Source organism: Homo sapiens, chromosome 9, assembly GCF_000001405.40.
Source record: "Homo sapiens chromosome 9, GRCh38.p14 Primary Assembly".
NCBI lineage: Eukaryota > Metazoa > Chordata > Mammalia > Primates > Hominidae > Homo > Homo sapiens.
In genome coordinates, this window is record NC_000009.12 from 97,774,452 (window position 1) to 97,792,302 (window position 17,851).

At 42.1% G+C, this 17,851-nt stretch overlaps 1 long non-coding RNA gene across 1 annotated transcript in view, besides 1 other annotated feature; it reads right to left on the reverse strand.

Annotated features, from left to right (window-relative positions):
* The window catches only part of PTCSC2 (papillary thyroid carcinoma susceptibility candidate 2), a 153,456-nt gene that overhangs the window by 74,827 nt on the left and 60,778 nt on the right, over nucleotides 1-17,851 (reverse strand). The window lies entirely within an intron of this gene.
* Nucleotides 11,823-12,907: an enhancer, noted in NCBI's record as "VISTA enhancer hs1595". NCBI's record gives its function as "enhancer in: facial mesenchyme[3/4] | other[3/4]" and the evidence as "EXISTENCE:transgenic organism evidence [ECO:0001131][PMID:17130149]".

Sequence of the window (17,851 nt, forward strand, 5' to 3'; positions counted from 1 at the left end):
TTAAAATGTCCTTCTTTTGGAAAATGGTGGCAGATCTTAGCTTTTGAAGTTTATAAGTTTCTTTGTTTGGCCTGACTTGGAAAACAAAAAAAATGGACATTCCATGCAGATTTCCCCTATTTTTACTTGAAATATTGGTCAATCCAAAAGTCTGAGAACTATTGGCTTAAAAGACCAAGACTGTGCCTATTAAACTGGTTTTACTGGCCATGAAATGGTTAAGTAGTAACATCCCAGAACTGCTATAATCATGGGATGCTAGTTACTCCCTCTACTCAGATCCTAATTAAAAAGTACCTCCTAAAAATGAATTTTTAGGTGATGAACAAGTTCCGAGAGACAACATAGTACGGTGGTTAAGGACACAGGCTCTGGAGTCTTGCCATCTGCGTTCAAATTCTGCTTCTGCAATTTACCAGCTGTTAACCTCTCTGGACCTTAGCTTCCTTATCTGGAAGGTGGGGATAATAAAAGCACCCAACCCACAGAATTGTTTTAAGGATTAAATACATTAAGCCATGTGAAACACTTAGAACAGGGTTGGCACATAGCAAGTGTTCAAAATACAGTACCTATTATTATTATAGGCATTTACATTTTAGTAAAGCAATAAGTGTGTCTCCAAGTCAATGAATTCCATCTCGGTGTGTGAAAGTTGTAGCTGCAATATCGAAAGTACTCCCTGTAATCTTTGAGAACAACTCGCAGAGAAAAGGAAAAGTAGCAAAAAGTTGAGTAGTGTTAAATGTTTTGATTTCCAAAATAATAAAAGAAAATGTATCTGAAAGACTGCACTTATCCTCTTATCAACAAGGCAGTCTGTCCGAAAATAGAAAACAAATGGCAAAGAGATGAAAATAGTGGAGAAAATGTAAGAAAAATAAGGACGAATTCAGTAAATTTGACTAATAGTACTTCCAGACAGTGAAAAAAAGAAGGTGAAAAATTATTTTCTTTAAAAAGAGATTGATTTCTCCAGAACCCAAGGGCATAAGTCTCCAGAATGAAAGAATCCTTGAGAATCAGGTCCATAGATTAAAAAACAAACAAACAAACAAAAAGCTCCACAAAACAATTACTGCAAAGTACAAGAATACTGGTGATAAAGAAAAGATTCTATGAGGTTCCAAACAGCAAAACCAGGTCACGTACAAAAATGGTCAGCAATTATAGTGATTGAAGACTTCTCAGAAAGTAACACTGGAAGTGAGAAGATGATGGAACATTGCCTCCAAAATTCTGAAGGAAAATTATTTTTGACCTAGAATTCAATTCCCAGCTAAATGAAAGAATAGAATAGAGACATTTCATACAAGCAAAATTTCAAAATATTTTCTATCAGGGCTGTGCTGAGCCATATTGGAGGCCGAAGCAAAAGGAAAAGTCAGTAATGCTGACTTTGTCTTTATCTAAAATTCTGATATGTTTTTCATAATGATTATTTTGCACTAATTTTTATATTTTAAAATGCTGTTTAAAATATCATTTATTGTGATTATTGAGATTTTGGGTGCTCTCTTGCATTTTGCACTTGAAGCAAGTGCCTCACTTTCCTTTCTCTTGTCCCATCCTTAATTCCCATGACCTTTCTTGGGAAGTTACTGAAATATGTGCTTCCCTCAAAAAAGGAGAAAATCAAGAAGGAGAAAGACATGGACACAAGGGCAAGGCATGAAACACGGCAGAAAGATCAAGGGAATTCCTGTAGTGTTGGTGAAGGGTGATCCTAGGGTGATAACCATGCCCAAATCAGAGAGGCCAAGAGACCTAGATTGCAGCAAGACAGAAGGCAAGAAGTGGAAACTGGTAAGTTCATACGAAAACACAGAGAGGAGGGCATTAAGGATGGTAATAATTTTTTTTAATTCAGCAAATGAAAACACAGATAATTATTATCTCCAGACAAAACCAAAAGTCCAAAAATGGAAATAAATAAATAAATAAATAAATAAATAAATAAATAGTATTCTACTAGTTCAGCTGTGAAAAGCATTTAGATAATACTATAAACACTGACTATTGATCTAATTAACATTATGATATGACTATATTAGGAGGATGGGGTAATAGGAAGGATGGGTACACATGGTGGAAATAGGTGTAAAAGAAAGCTAAATCTTTATTTTCCATAGTGTTAAGCCCAAAATCTGAAATATTAAGTAGTAGCTGACACCGAAAGCACATGCAACAAAAGCAAAAATAAACAACTGGGACTATATCAAATTAAATAGTTTCTTCACAGCAAAGGTAACCATCAACAAAACAAAAAGACATCCAACCTATGGAATAGGAGAAAATATTTCCAAATCTAATATGTCCGATAAGGAGTTAATATTTAAAATATATAAGAAATTCAGACAATCAATAGCAAAAAACCCCAAATAACCAAATTTAAAAAGGATCAAAAGACCTGAATAGGTATTTTTCCTAAGAATACAAATGATCAACAGGTATATAAAAAGAATCTCAACTGGGTGCAGTGGCTCACACCTGTAATCCCAGCACTTTGGGAGGCCAAGGCGGGTGGATCACCTGAGGTCAGGAGTTTGAGACCAGCCTGCCAACATGGTGAAACCCCATCTCTACTAAAAATACAAAAAAATTAGCTGGGCATGGTGGCACACACCTGTAATCCCAGCTACTCGGGAGGCAGAGGCATGAGAATCACTTGAACCTGGGAGGCAGAGGTTACAGTGAGCCGAGATTGCACCACTGCTCTCCATCCTGGGCAACAGAGTGAGACTCTGTCTCAATAAATAAATAAATGTAAATAAAATGAAAAGAATCTCAATATCACTAAACAACAGGGATATACAAATCAAAACCACAATCAGATATTACCTCATGCTTGTTAGAATGGTTATTTCACAAAAGTCAAAAGATAACAAGTGTTGTCAAGGATGTGGAGAAAAGGGAGCCTTGTACACTGTTGGTGGGAATGTAAATCGGTACAGCCATTATGGAAAACAGAATGGAGGTTCCTCAAAAAATTAAAAATGTGACTACCAGATGACCCAGCAATCCCATGTCTGGGTATATATTCAAAGGAAACAAAATCAGTATGTCAAAGAGATATCTGCACTCACATGTTCACTGTGGCATTATTCACAATAGCTGAGATATGGAAACGACTAAGTGTCCTTAACAGATTAATGGATAAATAAAATGTAATACACACACACACACACACACACACACACACACACACACAATGGAATATTATTCAGCCTTTAAAAAAGGACATTTCGCTACAACTTGGATGGACTTGGAGAACATTATACTAAACGAAATACACTAGATACAGAAAGACAAATACCACATGCTGTCACTTATGTGTAGAATCTTTTTTTAAAAAGCCAGACTCCTAGTAACAGAGAATAGAATGGTGCTTACTATGGGCTGGGAGGTGGCAGAAAAAAGGAGTATTTGTCAAAGGGTGCAAGCTTTCAGCTATGAGATGAATAAGTTCTGAAGACCCAATGTACAGCATGGTTACCATAGTTAATAATACTGTATTATGTACTTGAAAATTACTGAGAGGGTAGATCTCAAGTGTTTTCATCACACACACACATACACACACACACACACACACACACACACACACACACACAAATGTAACCACATGAGGTGATGAATATATTAATTAGCTTGATTGTGGTAATCATTTCACAATGTATATACACATCAAAACATCATGTTGTACACCTTAAATATATACAATTTTTATTTGCCAATTATATCTCAATTGTTAAAAATCAAGTAATAGCAAGTTAATTGAGTTATATAGAGATGTGGAAGAAAATACTAAAAAAGTGAAAAGAGGTGGAAAAAATTTGCTTTTGGGTGGGGGATATGGGAGAAGGCAAAGCAATAGGGCTACTCTTTTTGTGTCAAATCTTACAGAGTTATTTGATCTTTAAACTATGTATCTGTATAACTTTAAAAAATATAAAAACTTTCTAAAAACGATGTATTGATAGCTGTTTTCAGATTAGTTGAAACATTTGGGAAGAATTAGAGAAAACTACCTAGATGACTCATCCAAGCAATTATTAAGTCCAGGAAAAACAAAAAGAAGTACAAAAAGAGAGACATAGTAATATGGTTTGGCTATGTCCCCACCCAAATCTCATCTTCAATTGTAGTTTCCATAATCCCCACGTGTCATGGGAGGTAATTGAATCATGGCGGCATTAACCCCATGCTGTTCTCATAATAGTGAGTGAGTTCTTACAAGAGCTGATGGTTTTATAAGGGGCTTTTCCCCCTTTGCTCAGGACTCATTCTCTCTCCTGCCACCCTGTGAATACGTGCCTTCCACCATGATTGCAAATTTCCTGAGGCCTCCCCAGCCATGTGGAACTGTTAGCCAATTAAACCTCTTTTCTTTATAAATTACCCAGTCTTGGGTATTTCTTCATAGCAGCATGAGAATGGATTAAGACAGTAAATTTGTACCAGGAGTGGGGTGCTTCTGTAAAAATACCTGAAAATGTGGAAGCGACTTTGGAATTGGCTAACAGGCAGAGGTGGGAACAGTTTGGAGGGCTCAGAAGACAGGAAGATGTGGGAACATTAGGAACTTTCTAGAGACTTGTTGAATGCCTTTGACCAAAATGCTGATGGTGATATGGACAATGAAGTCCAGGCTGAGGTGGTCTCAGATGAAGATGAGGAACTTCTTGGGGACTGGAACAAAGGTCACTCTTGCTATACTTTAGCAAAGAGACTGGCAGTATTTGGCCCCTGCCCTAGAGATCTGTGGAACTTTGAACTTGAGAGAGATGATCTGAAATTGGAACTTATGTTTAAAAGGGAAGCAGAGGCTGGACACAGTGGCTCATACCTGTAATCCCAGCACTTTGGGAGGTCAAGGTGGGCAGATCACCTGAGGTCAGGAGTTTGAGACCAGCCTGGCCAACATGGCAAAACCCCGTCTCTGCTCAAAATACAAAAATTAGCTGGGTGTGGTGCTGGACACCTGTAATCTCAGCTACTCAGGAGCCTGAGGCAGGGAGAATTGCTTGAACGTGGGAGGCGGAGGTTGCAGTGAGCTGAGATCATGCCACTGCACTCCAGCCTGGGCAACAGAGTGAGACTCCATCGCAAAAAAAAAAAAAAAAAAAAATGAAGCAGAGCATAAAAGTTTGGAAATTTGCAGCCCAACAATGGAATAGAAAAGAAAAACCCATTTTCTGGGGACAAATTCAAGCCCATTGCAGAAATTTAAATAAATAAGGAGGAACCGAATGTTAATCACCAAGACAATGAGGAAAATTTCTCCAGGGCATGTCAGAGATCTTCATGATAGTCCCTCCCACCACAGGCCCAGAGGCCTAGGAGGGAAAAATGGTTCCCTGGGCCAGACACAGGGCCCTCCTGCTGTGTACAGAGTGCCTTGCATCCCAGCCGCTCCAGCAATGGCTAAAAGGGGCCAAGATACAGCTCAGGCTGTTGCTTCATAGGGTGCAAGCCCCAGGCCTTGGCAGCTTCCACATGGTGTTGGTCCTCCATGTGTGCAGAAGACATGAATTGAGGTTTGGAAGCCTCCATCTAGGTTTCAGAGGAGGTATGGAAGAGCCTGGATGTCCAGGCAGAGGTGTGCTGCAGGGGTAGAGTCCTCATGGAGAATCTCTGCTAGGGCAGTGCAGAAGGGAAATCTGGGGTTGGAGCCCCAACACAGAGTCCCCACTGGGGCACTGCCTAGTGGAGCTGTGAGAAGAGGGTCGCCATCTTCCAGGCCCCAGAATGGTAGAGGGCTAAATCCTCTTCTATGAAAATAGGAAATCAATAGTGTTTAAAATTGATAAATCAAGAAATAAATCAAGAAATAAAAGTATGAGCGTATCATTTAGAAATGCAGATATAAGTGGCCGGGGGCAGTGTCTCACACCTGTAATCCCAGCACTTTGGGAGGCAGGTGGATCATGAGATCAGGAGTTTGAGACTAGCCTGGCCAAAGAGATCAGCGGGGCCAACATGGTGAAACCCTGTCTCTACTAAAAATACAAAAATTAGCCGGGCATGGTGGCAGGAACCTGTAATCCAGCTACTCCTGCTGAGGCAAGAGAATTGCTTGAACCTGGGAGGGGGAGTTTGCAGTCAGCCGAGATCGCACCATTGCACTCTAGCCAGGGCGATAGAGTGAGACTCCATCTCAAAAAAGAAAGAAAGAAAGAAAGAAATTCAGATATAAATATCAGAAGAAACAGCTGAAAGGGTGGAAAATGATTGTCTCAACTCTAAGGAGTGAAAAGTAAGGAAGAGAGTTAGTTTTTATTATAAATAAGACTTCCAGTATTATTTGACTTTTCAAACTGCATGTATTTCTTGATTAAAACAAAATTTAATTTTAAAAAATAAAACTAGAAGCAGGTAACAGCTACAAGGAGGGTAACTGAGGTTCCAGATAAGGAAGAACTTTTTAATATCCAGAGGTATCCAACAGTGGAGCTGGCTGTCCCTACAAATAGAGTTCCCTCGCCATCTAACAGAAGTATTTAAACAGAAACTATATGCTCAGCCTACCAGAAATAAGGTAGAAGGTTCCAGCTTCATTAGGGAAGTTAAACTAAATGAGCTTTCCTACCCTTTTAACTCTAAGACCCTTTTCAATTTTATGCATTTGTGGGAGCTGGGATGTTATTGTCATTTATCTCCTAAATAATTTATCTATGCATTTTACAAGCATTTGCTTGGTACCTATTTCACGTCTGATGCTGCACCAGGTCCTGGGTTGGGGATAGGACAGCTGAGATAGACAGGTGTGGTGTCTGCTTATGAGAATCATTGAAGGGCAGTGCTAGAAAGGCCCTCCGAGTTTGTCTGGTCCAGGCCCTTATTATACAGAAAAGGAAACTGAGGTCACAAGATGGGCAGACACTTGTACAGTATTATACAGCATTAGTGGCAGGGCCAAGATCACATCCCGACCTCTGCATTCCTGTGCCAGTACTCTTTTCCTCACCATTCCTCCTCTGAAGAGCGCTTCCTTAAAAATAGTTCTAACAAAAATGAAGCTGCTTCTTCATGTCATTTTACTGATCTCATGTAGGCAGTATTGTGTCAGGAATCTTATATTTGAATTGTAGCAACGTTTGGTTTCCTGGATATCTGCTTCAGAGGTCATGTGGTGAACCCTCCGAGACACCAGTCAAAGTTTGCTGAACCCAAACCTCCAAGTCGTTCACCTGAAAGATCTAAACCAACAGAAATGAAACAAATTGGCATTGCTTTGTCTCACTATCTCGTGAGATGCGTGAGAATTCTTAAGCAGACAGTTACTGCCTGTGTCATGGGTAAAATCCCAAATCATTTTGTGGGGTTTGTTATTGTTCCAACAGCTATAAGAGAGCCAATATCTGCATGTACCAACATCTCTTTGTAGTATCGCTTCCTGGATCCTTTTTTTTTTTTTTTTTTTTCCGCTTGATTTGGGAGTCATGTCTCTGCTGCCTTGAAAAAAAATGCCACCATCTCGCCAAACTTCAGTTTCCCCATCTGTCTGTTTGCTCATTTAAACAAGAAAAATCAAGGGCATTAGACTAAACCAGTGGTTCTCAGCCAGGGGCAACTTTGCCCTCACCCTTAGAGGACATGTAGCTCTCTGGAGACATTTTCAATTGTCATACTTGGGGTGGGGTGCTGCTGGCATCTAGTGGAATAGAGGCCAGGGCTGCTGCTAACATCCTAAAATGCACAGAGCAGCTCCTTCAAACCCAGAATTACCTTGTCCAAAATGTCATTAGTGCTGCTGTTCAGAAACACCAGGCTAGATTCTTTGGCTTCAAGAGACAGAAACCCAATTCCAGCTTGGTTAAACAAAAGAAAAAAAGAAGACAGGGTGGTTATTGGAAGGATATTATCATTGCTTAAAAACAAGACAAAACAGGCTGGGTGCAGTGGCTCACGCCTGTAATCCCAGCACTTTGGGAGGCCAAGGCGGGGGAGAATCGCTGAGCCCAGGAGTTTGAGACCAGCCTAGGCAACACAGTGAAAACCCATCTCTACAAAAAATACAAAAATTAGTCAAGCATGGTGGTGCATGCCTGTAGTCCCAGCTACTTGGGAGGCTGAGGTGAGAGGATTGCTTGAGCCTGGGAGTTGGTGGCTGCAGTGAGCTTTGATTGCACCACTGAACTCCAGCCTGGGCAACAGAGTGAGACCCTGTCTCAAAACAACAACAACAAGAGGTAAGAGCTAAGCTGAATTAAAAAAAAAAACAACTCAGGATTAATATGCCTTGGTGACTAGAATAAGTCGTTCAACCCCATATGGGGCTACCTCTCCCCTCTCTCTGTCTTCCTTCTGTTCTCATTCTTTTCATGGTACGTAGGACTAGCCACCCAAGCTCTGGGCTTGTATCCTCCCAGTGCCATAACCAGAGAGGAAAAGGTCCCTTTCCCAGATCCATTATCGCAAATCCTGGATTGGGAAAGGATTCTGATTGGTGAAGCTTGGTCACATGCTTATCCCTGATATAATTAGGTATTACCTCCACTTGTGAATTTCCTGTAGGTACAGAATCCAAGAAGAAAAGTGTTGCTGTTGCTCATCCCTAAGATTTAGAAGTTAAATGTTTTTATTTTTAAAAGGTAAAGAGAATCTTTGATACAATTTGTACTGGCGACACTACTGGAAACAACCTGAGTTTCACTTAAGTGACCAACATCAAATTGCTCCAAATCAAACAAATCAACACCAAATTGAGCCAAAATGTATTCTTTTGTATGATTGTTGTAAGAGAAAAGAACTGACATCTTAGAACAGAATAGGGAAAACAAAAGAAATCCAAAGCAACCCTAAGTTCAGTTTAGCATCTATAAAATTAGCAAAAACATTTTAAAATGGTAATTCGCCAATGCTGTTGAAGGTATTAGAAACACCAGTATATACACTGCTGTTGGAATATAAACTGTTTACTTCTTTGGGAAGTATATTTGGTAATATACATCAAGATACAAAAATCAATTCTCCTCTTAAAAATCAATAATTAAGAGAATACTTCAACAGAATAAAAAGGCTCTGCATACTATATATATATATATTTGTATTACTTGCAAATGATCAAAAAGTGCAAACAACTACAATAGTAGAGAAATGGTTTGCCAGAGTGTGTTGCGTCCACAGTATGAAGTATTTTACAGCCATTAAAACCAATCATTATGAAAGCATGGCTGTGGCGCTCTTAGTCCCATCTGCAAAACCCCTGTGAGTCCTGTTGGTCTCAGGAAAGATCCAAGCTCTCAGAATAGAACCTTGCTCAAGTGTTTAAGCAGGTCAAGGCCAAGTTCTCCAAGGTGGCCCCAGTGAATATGTTCAGCTTAAACAAGAGCCCATGAGATACTATGTGGCAGTGGGTTGGCAGGAGTTGGTAATGGGCACTCCAGCATTGCAGGAGCTTGGTAACCTACTGTTGGCCCTGCTCACAATGAGGCTGTACACATTCTGCTGACCACGAAGGGGACTGTGCACACCTGGAGCATGGATGTGTCTTCTGCAACAACTCCCAGCCAAAATTAAGAGGATGGTCAGAGGCATAGCGGGGAGAAGGGGTCGAGTACAATCAGAGAAGCTAGGAAGACTTCTGACTCTATGCTCCAGGTAGCTGTAAGAGGGTCTCAATAAACTATGCCTCCCAGTGTTCACGTGTATGTGTACTACCCTTCCCTTGGACCTGGACCAATCCTGGAACTCTCACTTGTAATAAAAAGAATATGGCAGAAGTGATGTTGTATGACTTCTGAGGCTAAGTCAGAAAAAGCCTTGCTGCTTTGACCTGAGTCTCTTGGAACATTCTCTAAGGAGCCGTGAACTACTATATAAGAAGTCTGCCATACTGGGGAAGCCAAGTGTAGGCACTCCGGTTAACAGTCCCCGCACAGCTCCGCCTTCCAGCCATTCCCACTAAGACATCACACATACAAGGGAAGTTGTCTCGGATCCTCCAGATCAGCCCATCCACAAGCTGAATACTCCCAAGTGACTTCAGCCAGTACCACACAGAGCAGAAGAATCTCTCAGCTGATCCTGGCCCAAATTCCTGACCCACAAAATTATAATACAAAATAAAATGGTTGCTATTTTAAGCCACTAAGTGAGGGGGCAATTAATATGCAGCAATACATAACCAGCATATCACCTTTGGGAGATGCTTGAGAATAAACTCATTATTCCAAAAGCAGATAAATTAAAGATAAAGAATCAAGCATTTGTCCTGCCTTTCCTTTATGAACTATTTCAGAGTAACCAGATAGTTGATGAGACCAAGCTCTTCTTTATAGAAGAATTACAGCTAATAAAGGAAGAAGGAATATCAGAATTAGAATATCATGTGAAACCTCTGATGAAATCACAGTGTTAGACAATAATCATCAATGACTGCTAATATCATTAGGCAAAAGGCCAGCAAGGAATATTAGAATGGATGGATCAGGCTGCAAACACCTGAATCCACTGATCAATATCTTCTCAATAACCCAAGACTGGAGAAAACTAGCGAGCATGTGCCTTCTGATGTGAGGCAACAAGGAATACACAGTACCGCCTCTAAAACTTTCTTGCCCTCAAATTCTGTTCCCCTGAATCTGATAGAAATTCTAGACTTCACTACCAGGAACCAGAGGAACATGTTAAATGATCCCCTGGGGATGCAGTCAGCAAAATCCAGAACATGGAAAATTCTACAGGACAACCAAGTTTCTTCAATATGTAATTGTTTTTTAATAAAGGAAGAAGGGGAGCATATTAATTAAAAGAGGCAAAGGGCTGGGCGCGGTGGCTCCTGCCTGTAATCTCAGCACTTTGGGAGGCCGAGGTGGGTGGATCACTTGAGGCCAGGAGTTCCAGACCAGCCTGGCCAACATGGTGAAACCCTGTCTACTAAAAATAGAAAAATCAGCCAGGTGTGGTGTTGGGCACCTGTAATCCCAGCTACTCAGGAGGCTGAGGTGGAAGAATCCCTTGAACTCAGGAGGAGGAGGTTGCAGTGAGCCGAGATTGCACCACTGCACTCCAGCCTGGGTGAAAGAGAGAGAAGAGATTCTGTCTCACAAAAAAAAAAAAAAAAAAAAAAAAAAGTGCCGGGCACGGTGGCTCACGCCTGTAATCCCAACACTTTGGGAAGCTGAGGCTGTTGGATCACTTGAGGTCTGGAGTTCGAGACCAGTCTAGCCAACATGGTAAAACCCATGTCTACTAAAAATACAAAAATTAGCCAGTTGTGATGGCACATGCTTAACATGCCTGTAATCCCAGGTACTTGGGAGACTGAGGCAGGAAAATTGCTTGAACCCAGGAAGTGGAGTTTGCAGTGAGCCAAGATCGCACCACCGCACTCCAGCCTGGGTGAAAGAATGAGACCCTGCCTCAAAAAAAAAAAAAAAAAAAAAAAGGAAACAAGAGATATGTCAACCAAATTCAATGTGTATATCAGAATCCACAAAGTCTGTGGATTCTGATATATACATTAGTGTGTGTGTGTGTGTGTGTGTGTGTATTTGAACATAGACTAGGTATTTAGTGATATTAACAATTATTTTTAATTTTAGGTGTGATATAATATTGTGTATATTTTTTAAAGATAAAAGATGTATTTAGAGATAAAAAGATATATGCATCCCAGGTATATCTGGGATTTGCTTCAAATGAATGCAGTGGTAAGGGGGTAGGAATAGACAGGGTATAAGGAGGCAAGATTGGCCATATGTTGATATTATTGAAGCAAGGTGATGTCGATGTGGAGGTTTTAATATCTTTACTTTTGGTATATAATTTATATTTGCATTCAAAAATAAAACAAATAGCTCTGATCAAAAAATAAAAATATTGGGGGCAGAGGGTGCAGGAGATATTTCCAGTGAAGTATCTCTGCGTGATTGAGCACAGTAAAGACATTCTTTACTGCTTCCCCTCTCACCAAATCCTCCTGCATTCATAGGACTAGAAACCTAAAGAGGCATCTGAAGTCACATCTTAAGGATGCATAATGGAGGGGAGTTTGGAGAGGGAACAAAATTATTAAGGAGGATTATACTGTCACCACTCGACACAATGGAGACTGCTGCTTTTAACTGCCTTAAACAAGTCTTGCTTCATACCAGAGCTGCGACTCAAGGAGGCGTCGCCATGGGAAGTGGATCCTGCCCAGCCGATCAAATCTTTCTTCTTGGCTGGGTCTTTGAGTGCAGGTTTTCTGCCTATACAACAAGAGAATGGATGTGGCTCTTAGAATGCACTTGAAATTCTTCTTCCTCTTCATGGTGTCTTTGTGGCCAGATGTCTTGGAAGGCCCAGGAATGAAGGCGCCTCTGGATAAAGTGGCCATCCTGCTTCTGAGAGCATGGGGGACCCAGGCAAGTTACTATCTTTCTGTGAGTCTCTGTTTCCTCCAGATGCAGTGAGCAGCGGTATAGCATAGGGTTAGCCAGAGGGCTCTAGAGACATCTGGTTCCCGCAACTCACCAGCTCTGCAACCTTGTTAGGCCATGCAACTCCTATGTGCCTTATTCCCTATTTATAAAGTAGGGATGATAACTTCCACCTCACATTGTTGATGAAAGGATAAAATTAGATAATGCGTATAAAGTGCTCAGTGTGGTACCTAGCATAGATCCACTCTCAATAAATAGTTATTACAATTATATTTATTTCTTCATAAAATGTGTATTGCAGCTAATAGCCATTATGGCTCCTCCTAACTCTAATGTTTGAGGATTCATTCACTGATACAACAAACTGTACGTCAGGTGTCAGTGCTAAGGTGAAGACATATCTGGTATTGGGGTTAGGGGCTGAAGTCAGCATATTAGGCAAAAACTCAGCATACTCAAAATTACTTTTGGAAATCCCTCTACCATCAGCTGACCACCCAATCATTTGCTCCCCCATTCAGAGGTGATGCTGGGGAGGTGCTTCTTGCGGGGTGGGGAGCCTGCATGATCTGGGCAATGGAGTAATAGTGGCTGAGGGATCTTTCAGGATGTGGCATTTTGTTTCCTCCTAGGGCCTGGAACGTGAAAGCCATAAACTGTCCTCCATTCAGAGCAAAGCAATGCTCCCTCCATTGCTTCTAAGTTCCCAGCCCCAGTTCTGGATGAGAAAATGGAGAGCAGCCTCAGTAGTCACTTTCCTTCAACTTCAAGGCTGCCATGAGATGGTCACCACCTCATGACCAGGAAGGAGCATGCTGCTTTGGTAGACTACACATACCTCCCTGTGGCAGCCAGGCCCCCACCACCCATTCTCATCATTCCACACAAACGTGAGCCCCTACCATGAACAAGATGTTGCATGGAGCACTGGCAGAAGCAGAGTGAGTTGAAGGTGGCTTCCTCCCAGGACTGCATGGTCACAGACCCCAGCACCAGCAAAGTATGGTCATCAGGACCACAGGAAGGGCCAGAGATGGGCTATGGGGCACTGGGGTCAGGAAGAGTGCCCCATCTTCCTGAAGGGTGATACTGGACCTGGTCCTTGGAGAATAAGAAAGATCTGATGAAGCAAAACCCTGGAAGGAGGGTATCCAAGATGAAGAGAAAGTATGAGGTGCAGTCTGGAGGCAGGAAAGATGGGCTGCATCGGAATCACACCAGGTAGAATGGTTGGTTGGTTGAATTGGGAGGTGGAGCTGGAGAGGTATGTAGGGCAGATGGCAAAAGGCCTTAAATTCAGGCCAAGGAGAGTGGACTTGATTATGGAGGCAACAGAGACTGAGGGACAAGAGCTGGGATTGGAAAGAGGCCCCAAGCATATATGAAGCTCCCCTACTCATGCCTGCCCCACACCTTTTCATGGGATGTTGTACAGCACACTCCCAGATTTGGAAAGCCCCATCTATAAATCTTTCAGTCCCAGGATCACTCCTTTCTACAGTGGCTTCAGCAGCAATGACAGAGTCAAGAGAGGTCACCCTTTAGGTTTCTCAACACAGTTGCCCTTCCCCTCTGGAAAAACTACATCACGGTGGAATGGGAGAGGTGGAGATGAAGGCTAAACACAAGAAAGAGGTTAACTACTCATAGAGTGTCAGACGAAATAACCTGAAAGTTCTCTGCTACAAAACACTCAGAAATGCTGGTAAGAAAATTTTCAGTCATTTTAAATGTACAGCTAAGCTTACAGGAACATGAGAGCATTTTCCTTCTTTTTTTAAAAAAATAGACTTGGGGGTACAAGTGTTGTTTTGTTACATGGATACATTGGATAGTGTAGTCTGGGCTTTTAGTGTAGTCATCACTCAAATATTGTCCGCTGTACCCATTAAAGAATTTCTCTTCCTTTACCCCCCTCCCACCCTTCCAACTCTCCAATGTCTGTCACTCCACAGTGAGGGCATTTTCAAGGTCAAAATGAAGGGAGAGCTGAGCACTGGAGCAGGTAGAAGGCTGCAGCTGCCTTGCAGAGTTTACAGCAGGAGATGTCAGGGCAACAGTGGAACTGCGAGGTTGCTTCCAAGCAGGAGGACAGCCTGGGAAGGACTGTGCTGGGAGGCCCTCTGAGAGTCTCACTCTGTGAGTGACTCTGAGTCCCTGGCTGCCCTCTGCATACAGTGCTTGGAAAAGCCACGCATATTTTGTCTAAAGAAACCACTGGTAAGGTGGACGAACCCGACTTGGCTTACCTCTAACATCCCACATCACTTCTGCTCTTCTCTGAGTCTTAATTTTATCATATTTTAACTGGAAATGGTGTCACCACAATAGACCTCACAGGACTGCTGGAAGAACTTGTTCAGTATTCAACTAATATGTATTAAGCAAGGAGCGTGACAAGTGCTGGGATATGGAGTTGAACAGGAAAAAATCCCTGCCTGCAAGGAGCTTACGTTCTGGTGCATAAACAGACACTCTATAAACAATGTGGACATGAAGTGGCAGAGATCAGCACTAGGTAGAGAGGAAGGAGCTCCCCCAAGCCTTGGCCAGGAGGGTTGGCAGGCCCTGGGGGGAGGTGGTGTTTGAACTGAGTCATGAGGGATGGATAAATAGAAATCTTTCACAAGAAGTGGGCAGGGCATTCCAGGAATGAGCTAGAAAGCCCAGAGTCCAAAGCAGCATGACATGTACAAAAACTACACATGGCACAGGTAAAATGTGGGTGGGATGCGGAGACAGAAAAGGGTCAATAGGGACACAGCTCACATGATTGGAAGATGAGACCCTGGATAGACTCCAGTAAAACTTATGTGAATTTCAGAGAACTCCTCCCTCCTTGCAATAATTCACAATCCTATTCCCACCACCATGACACCCAGTGGTATCCTCAGAGTAGGAGTCAGCTTACTGCTTGGACTTAACCTACCTTCCCCAGAAAGCAGAGCTTGAGGCAGAGGGCTTTTGAGCTGCCATAGATGATCCTCAACTTACCATGGTTTAACTTATGACTTTTCAACTTTATGATGGTGCAAGAGTGATACACATTCAGTAGAAACCGTAGTTCAAGAGCCCATACAACCATTCTGATTTTCACTTGCAGTACAGTGTTCAATAAGTCACATGAGATATTTAACACTTTATTATAAAATAGGCTTTGTGTTAGATGATTTTGCCTGACTGTGGGCTAATGGAAGTGGTTTGAGCACATTTGAGGTAGGCTAGAGTAAGCTATGTTGTTCAGTAGGTTAGGTGTATTAAATGCATTTTCAACTTATGATATTTTCAGTTTTCAATGGGTTTATTGGGACATAACCACATCATAAGCCAAGAAGCATCTGTATTTTACTAGGGAGCAGGAGTGAGGAACAAGGAGAGCGAAGCAGGCAAGAGGGAGGATACAAGGATATATGATGGAGACGGCCACTGCTAAATGCACCTCATTATTCAACCTCATGGAAATGTCCCCCGAGAAACCATGCAATCTGTGTCTCAGGTAGGGTGACCAACCATCCTGGTTTTCTCAAGATGGGGGGATTTTTCCAGGATGTGGAACTTTCAGTGCCAAACCCAGGAAGGTCCTGGGAAAACGAGAATGAGCTTGTTCCGTAGAATCAGGACCACTGGATTTGAGGATAGAAAAATGGAAAGATAGGGAAGGTAACAGTTGATGGTCTTGATTGCTTTATGAAGTGCGACATACAGAGATGGGTGTGGGAAACTAAAAATGGGGTATGAATAGTTGAAAGAAGTGGAAGGATGAGTAAAAAGATGCCCTAGTGGCACTAACAGCCTGGCTAAAATTGAAGACCTTGAATTGTTGCTGAATAGTATTGATTTATTCAGTCATTCATTCACCCATTTTGAGTCATGTCCGTGATTGTTGGTTACCATGGGAACATTGATCAGTGATGTAATTTTGGCCATACCAATACATGTCAGAGTCTCATGGAAGTTCAGAGCTCCACGCTGTCAACCAGGGTCATGACTCCATCATGGCCACACCATTTACGTTACTGAATGTTCTCATTCTCTACCACAGCTGCCACTACCGAGTGGATGCTGATGCTTCCGAAATCTCTAGCCCCAGTCCAAACCTTTTCCTGGGCATCAGACCTACAAACACCCAACAGGCACCTCAGTCTCAACATCTCCAAACCCATATTCATCATCTTACCCCCAAAACCTGCTCCAGCAAGGGAGTGGACTTTCCCAGACAGTCTGTGTATATGAGGATACCAAGTTACCTTCTCACTATCTACTTCCTTGCTTGGTTCTGAAAATGCCATCTCCAAAGGCTTCCCCATGGTTTGAGGAATCATGACTTTCAGGGGATACATGTGGGACAATCTGGAGGAAAAGTGTTTGAGGCAGAGAAAACAGCTAGTGCTAAAGCCTTAAGGCAGGAAAAAAGTGTGTTTCAGGGATGTAAAGAAGGTCAGTCTAACTGAGCTTGGTAGACAAGGAAGAGTCTGGTTCAAAGGGAAGCTGGAGAAGTAAACAGGAGCTAGATCACATGGAGCACTGTAGGTCAAGTGAAGGAGATTAGACTTTCTTCTTGGAGCACTGCAAAATCATTTAAGGGTTATAAACAGAAGAGCTGGTGCATTAGCCAGGGTTCTCCAGAGAGACAGAACCCTTAAGATATATATAAATGTAGAGAAAAAGATTCATCATGAGGAATTGGCTTATGTGATTATCTGCTATCTGCAAGCTGAAGGCCCAGGAAAGCCAGTGGTGTAGTTCTTATCCAAGCCCAAAGGCCTGAGAATCAGGAGTGCTGATGTCCGAGAATAAAAGAAGATGGATGTTCCAGCTCCAGAGAAGAGAGAATGTACCCTTCCTCGACATTTTTTGTTCTTTTCCAGTCCTCAATGGACTGGGTGATGCCCATGCATGTTGGGGAGGGTGGAGCTTCTTTACTGCCTGCTGATTCAAATGCTAATGTCTTCTGGAAACACGTGCACAGACATACTCAGAAATAATGTTTTGCCAGCTATCTGGGTATGCCTTAGCCCAGTGAAGCTGGCACACAAAATTAACCATCACAGTACGCATGATTTGATTTATACTTTTAAATACACCTTTAAATTTGATTTCCACCCTGGCTGCTGAGTGGACAATAGAAAGTACAGGAACAAGACAAATAGGACATAGGCAGGGAGACCAATTAAGGGAGACCAGGAGATAGGCAGGGAGACCAGACTGCAGTAATCTAGGTGAGAGTTGATGTTGGATGGGACTAAGACGTAATTGTGATGATGAAGAGAAGTTTCAGATTCTTGATTAGTTCTAGGGGGGACGTTCAACAGGACTTAAGTATAAGGCATGAGGAAATAAATCAAAGATGTGTCCAAGGTTTTAGGCCTGATCATCTGTGTGAATGTGTGTTATTTACTGGGATGGGGAAGACCTGGGGGAGGAACATGTTTGGAGGTGAAAGGAAAAGCAAGAGTTTGATTTGGGACAAAGCAAGT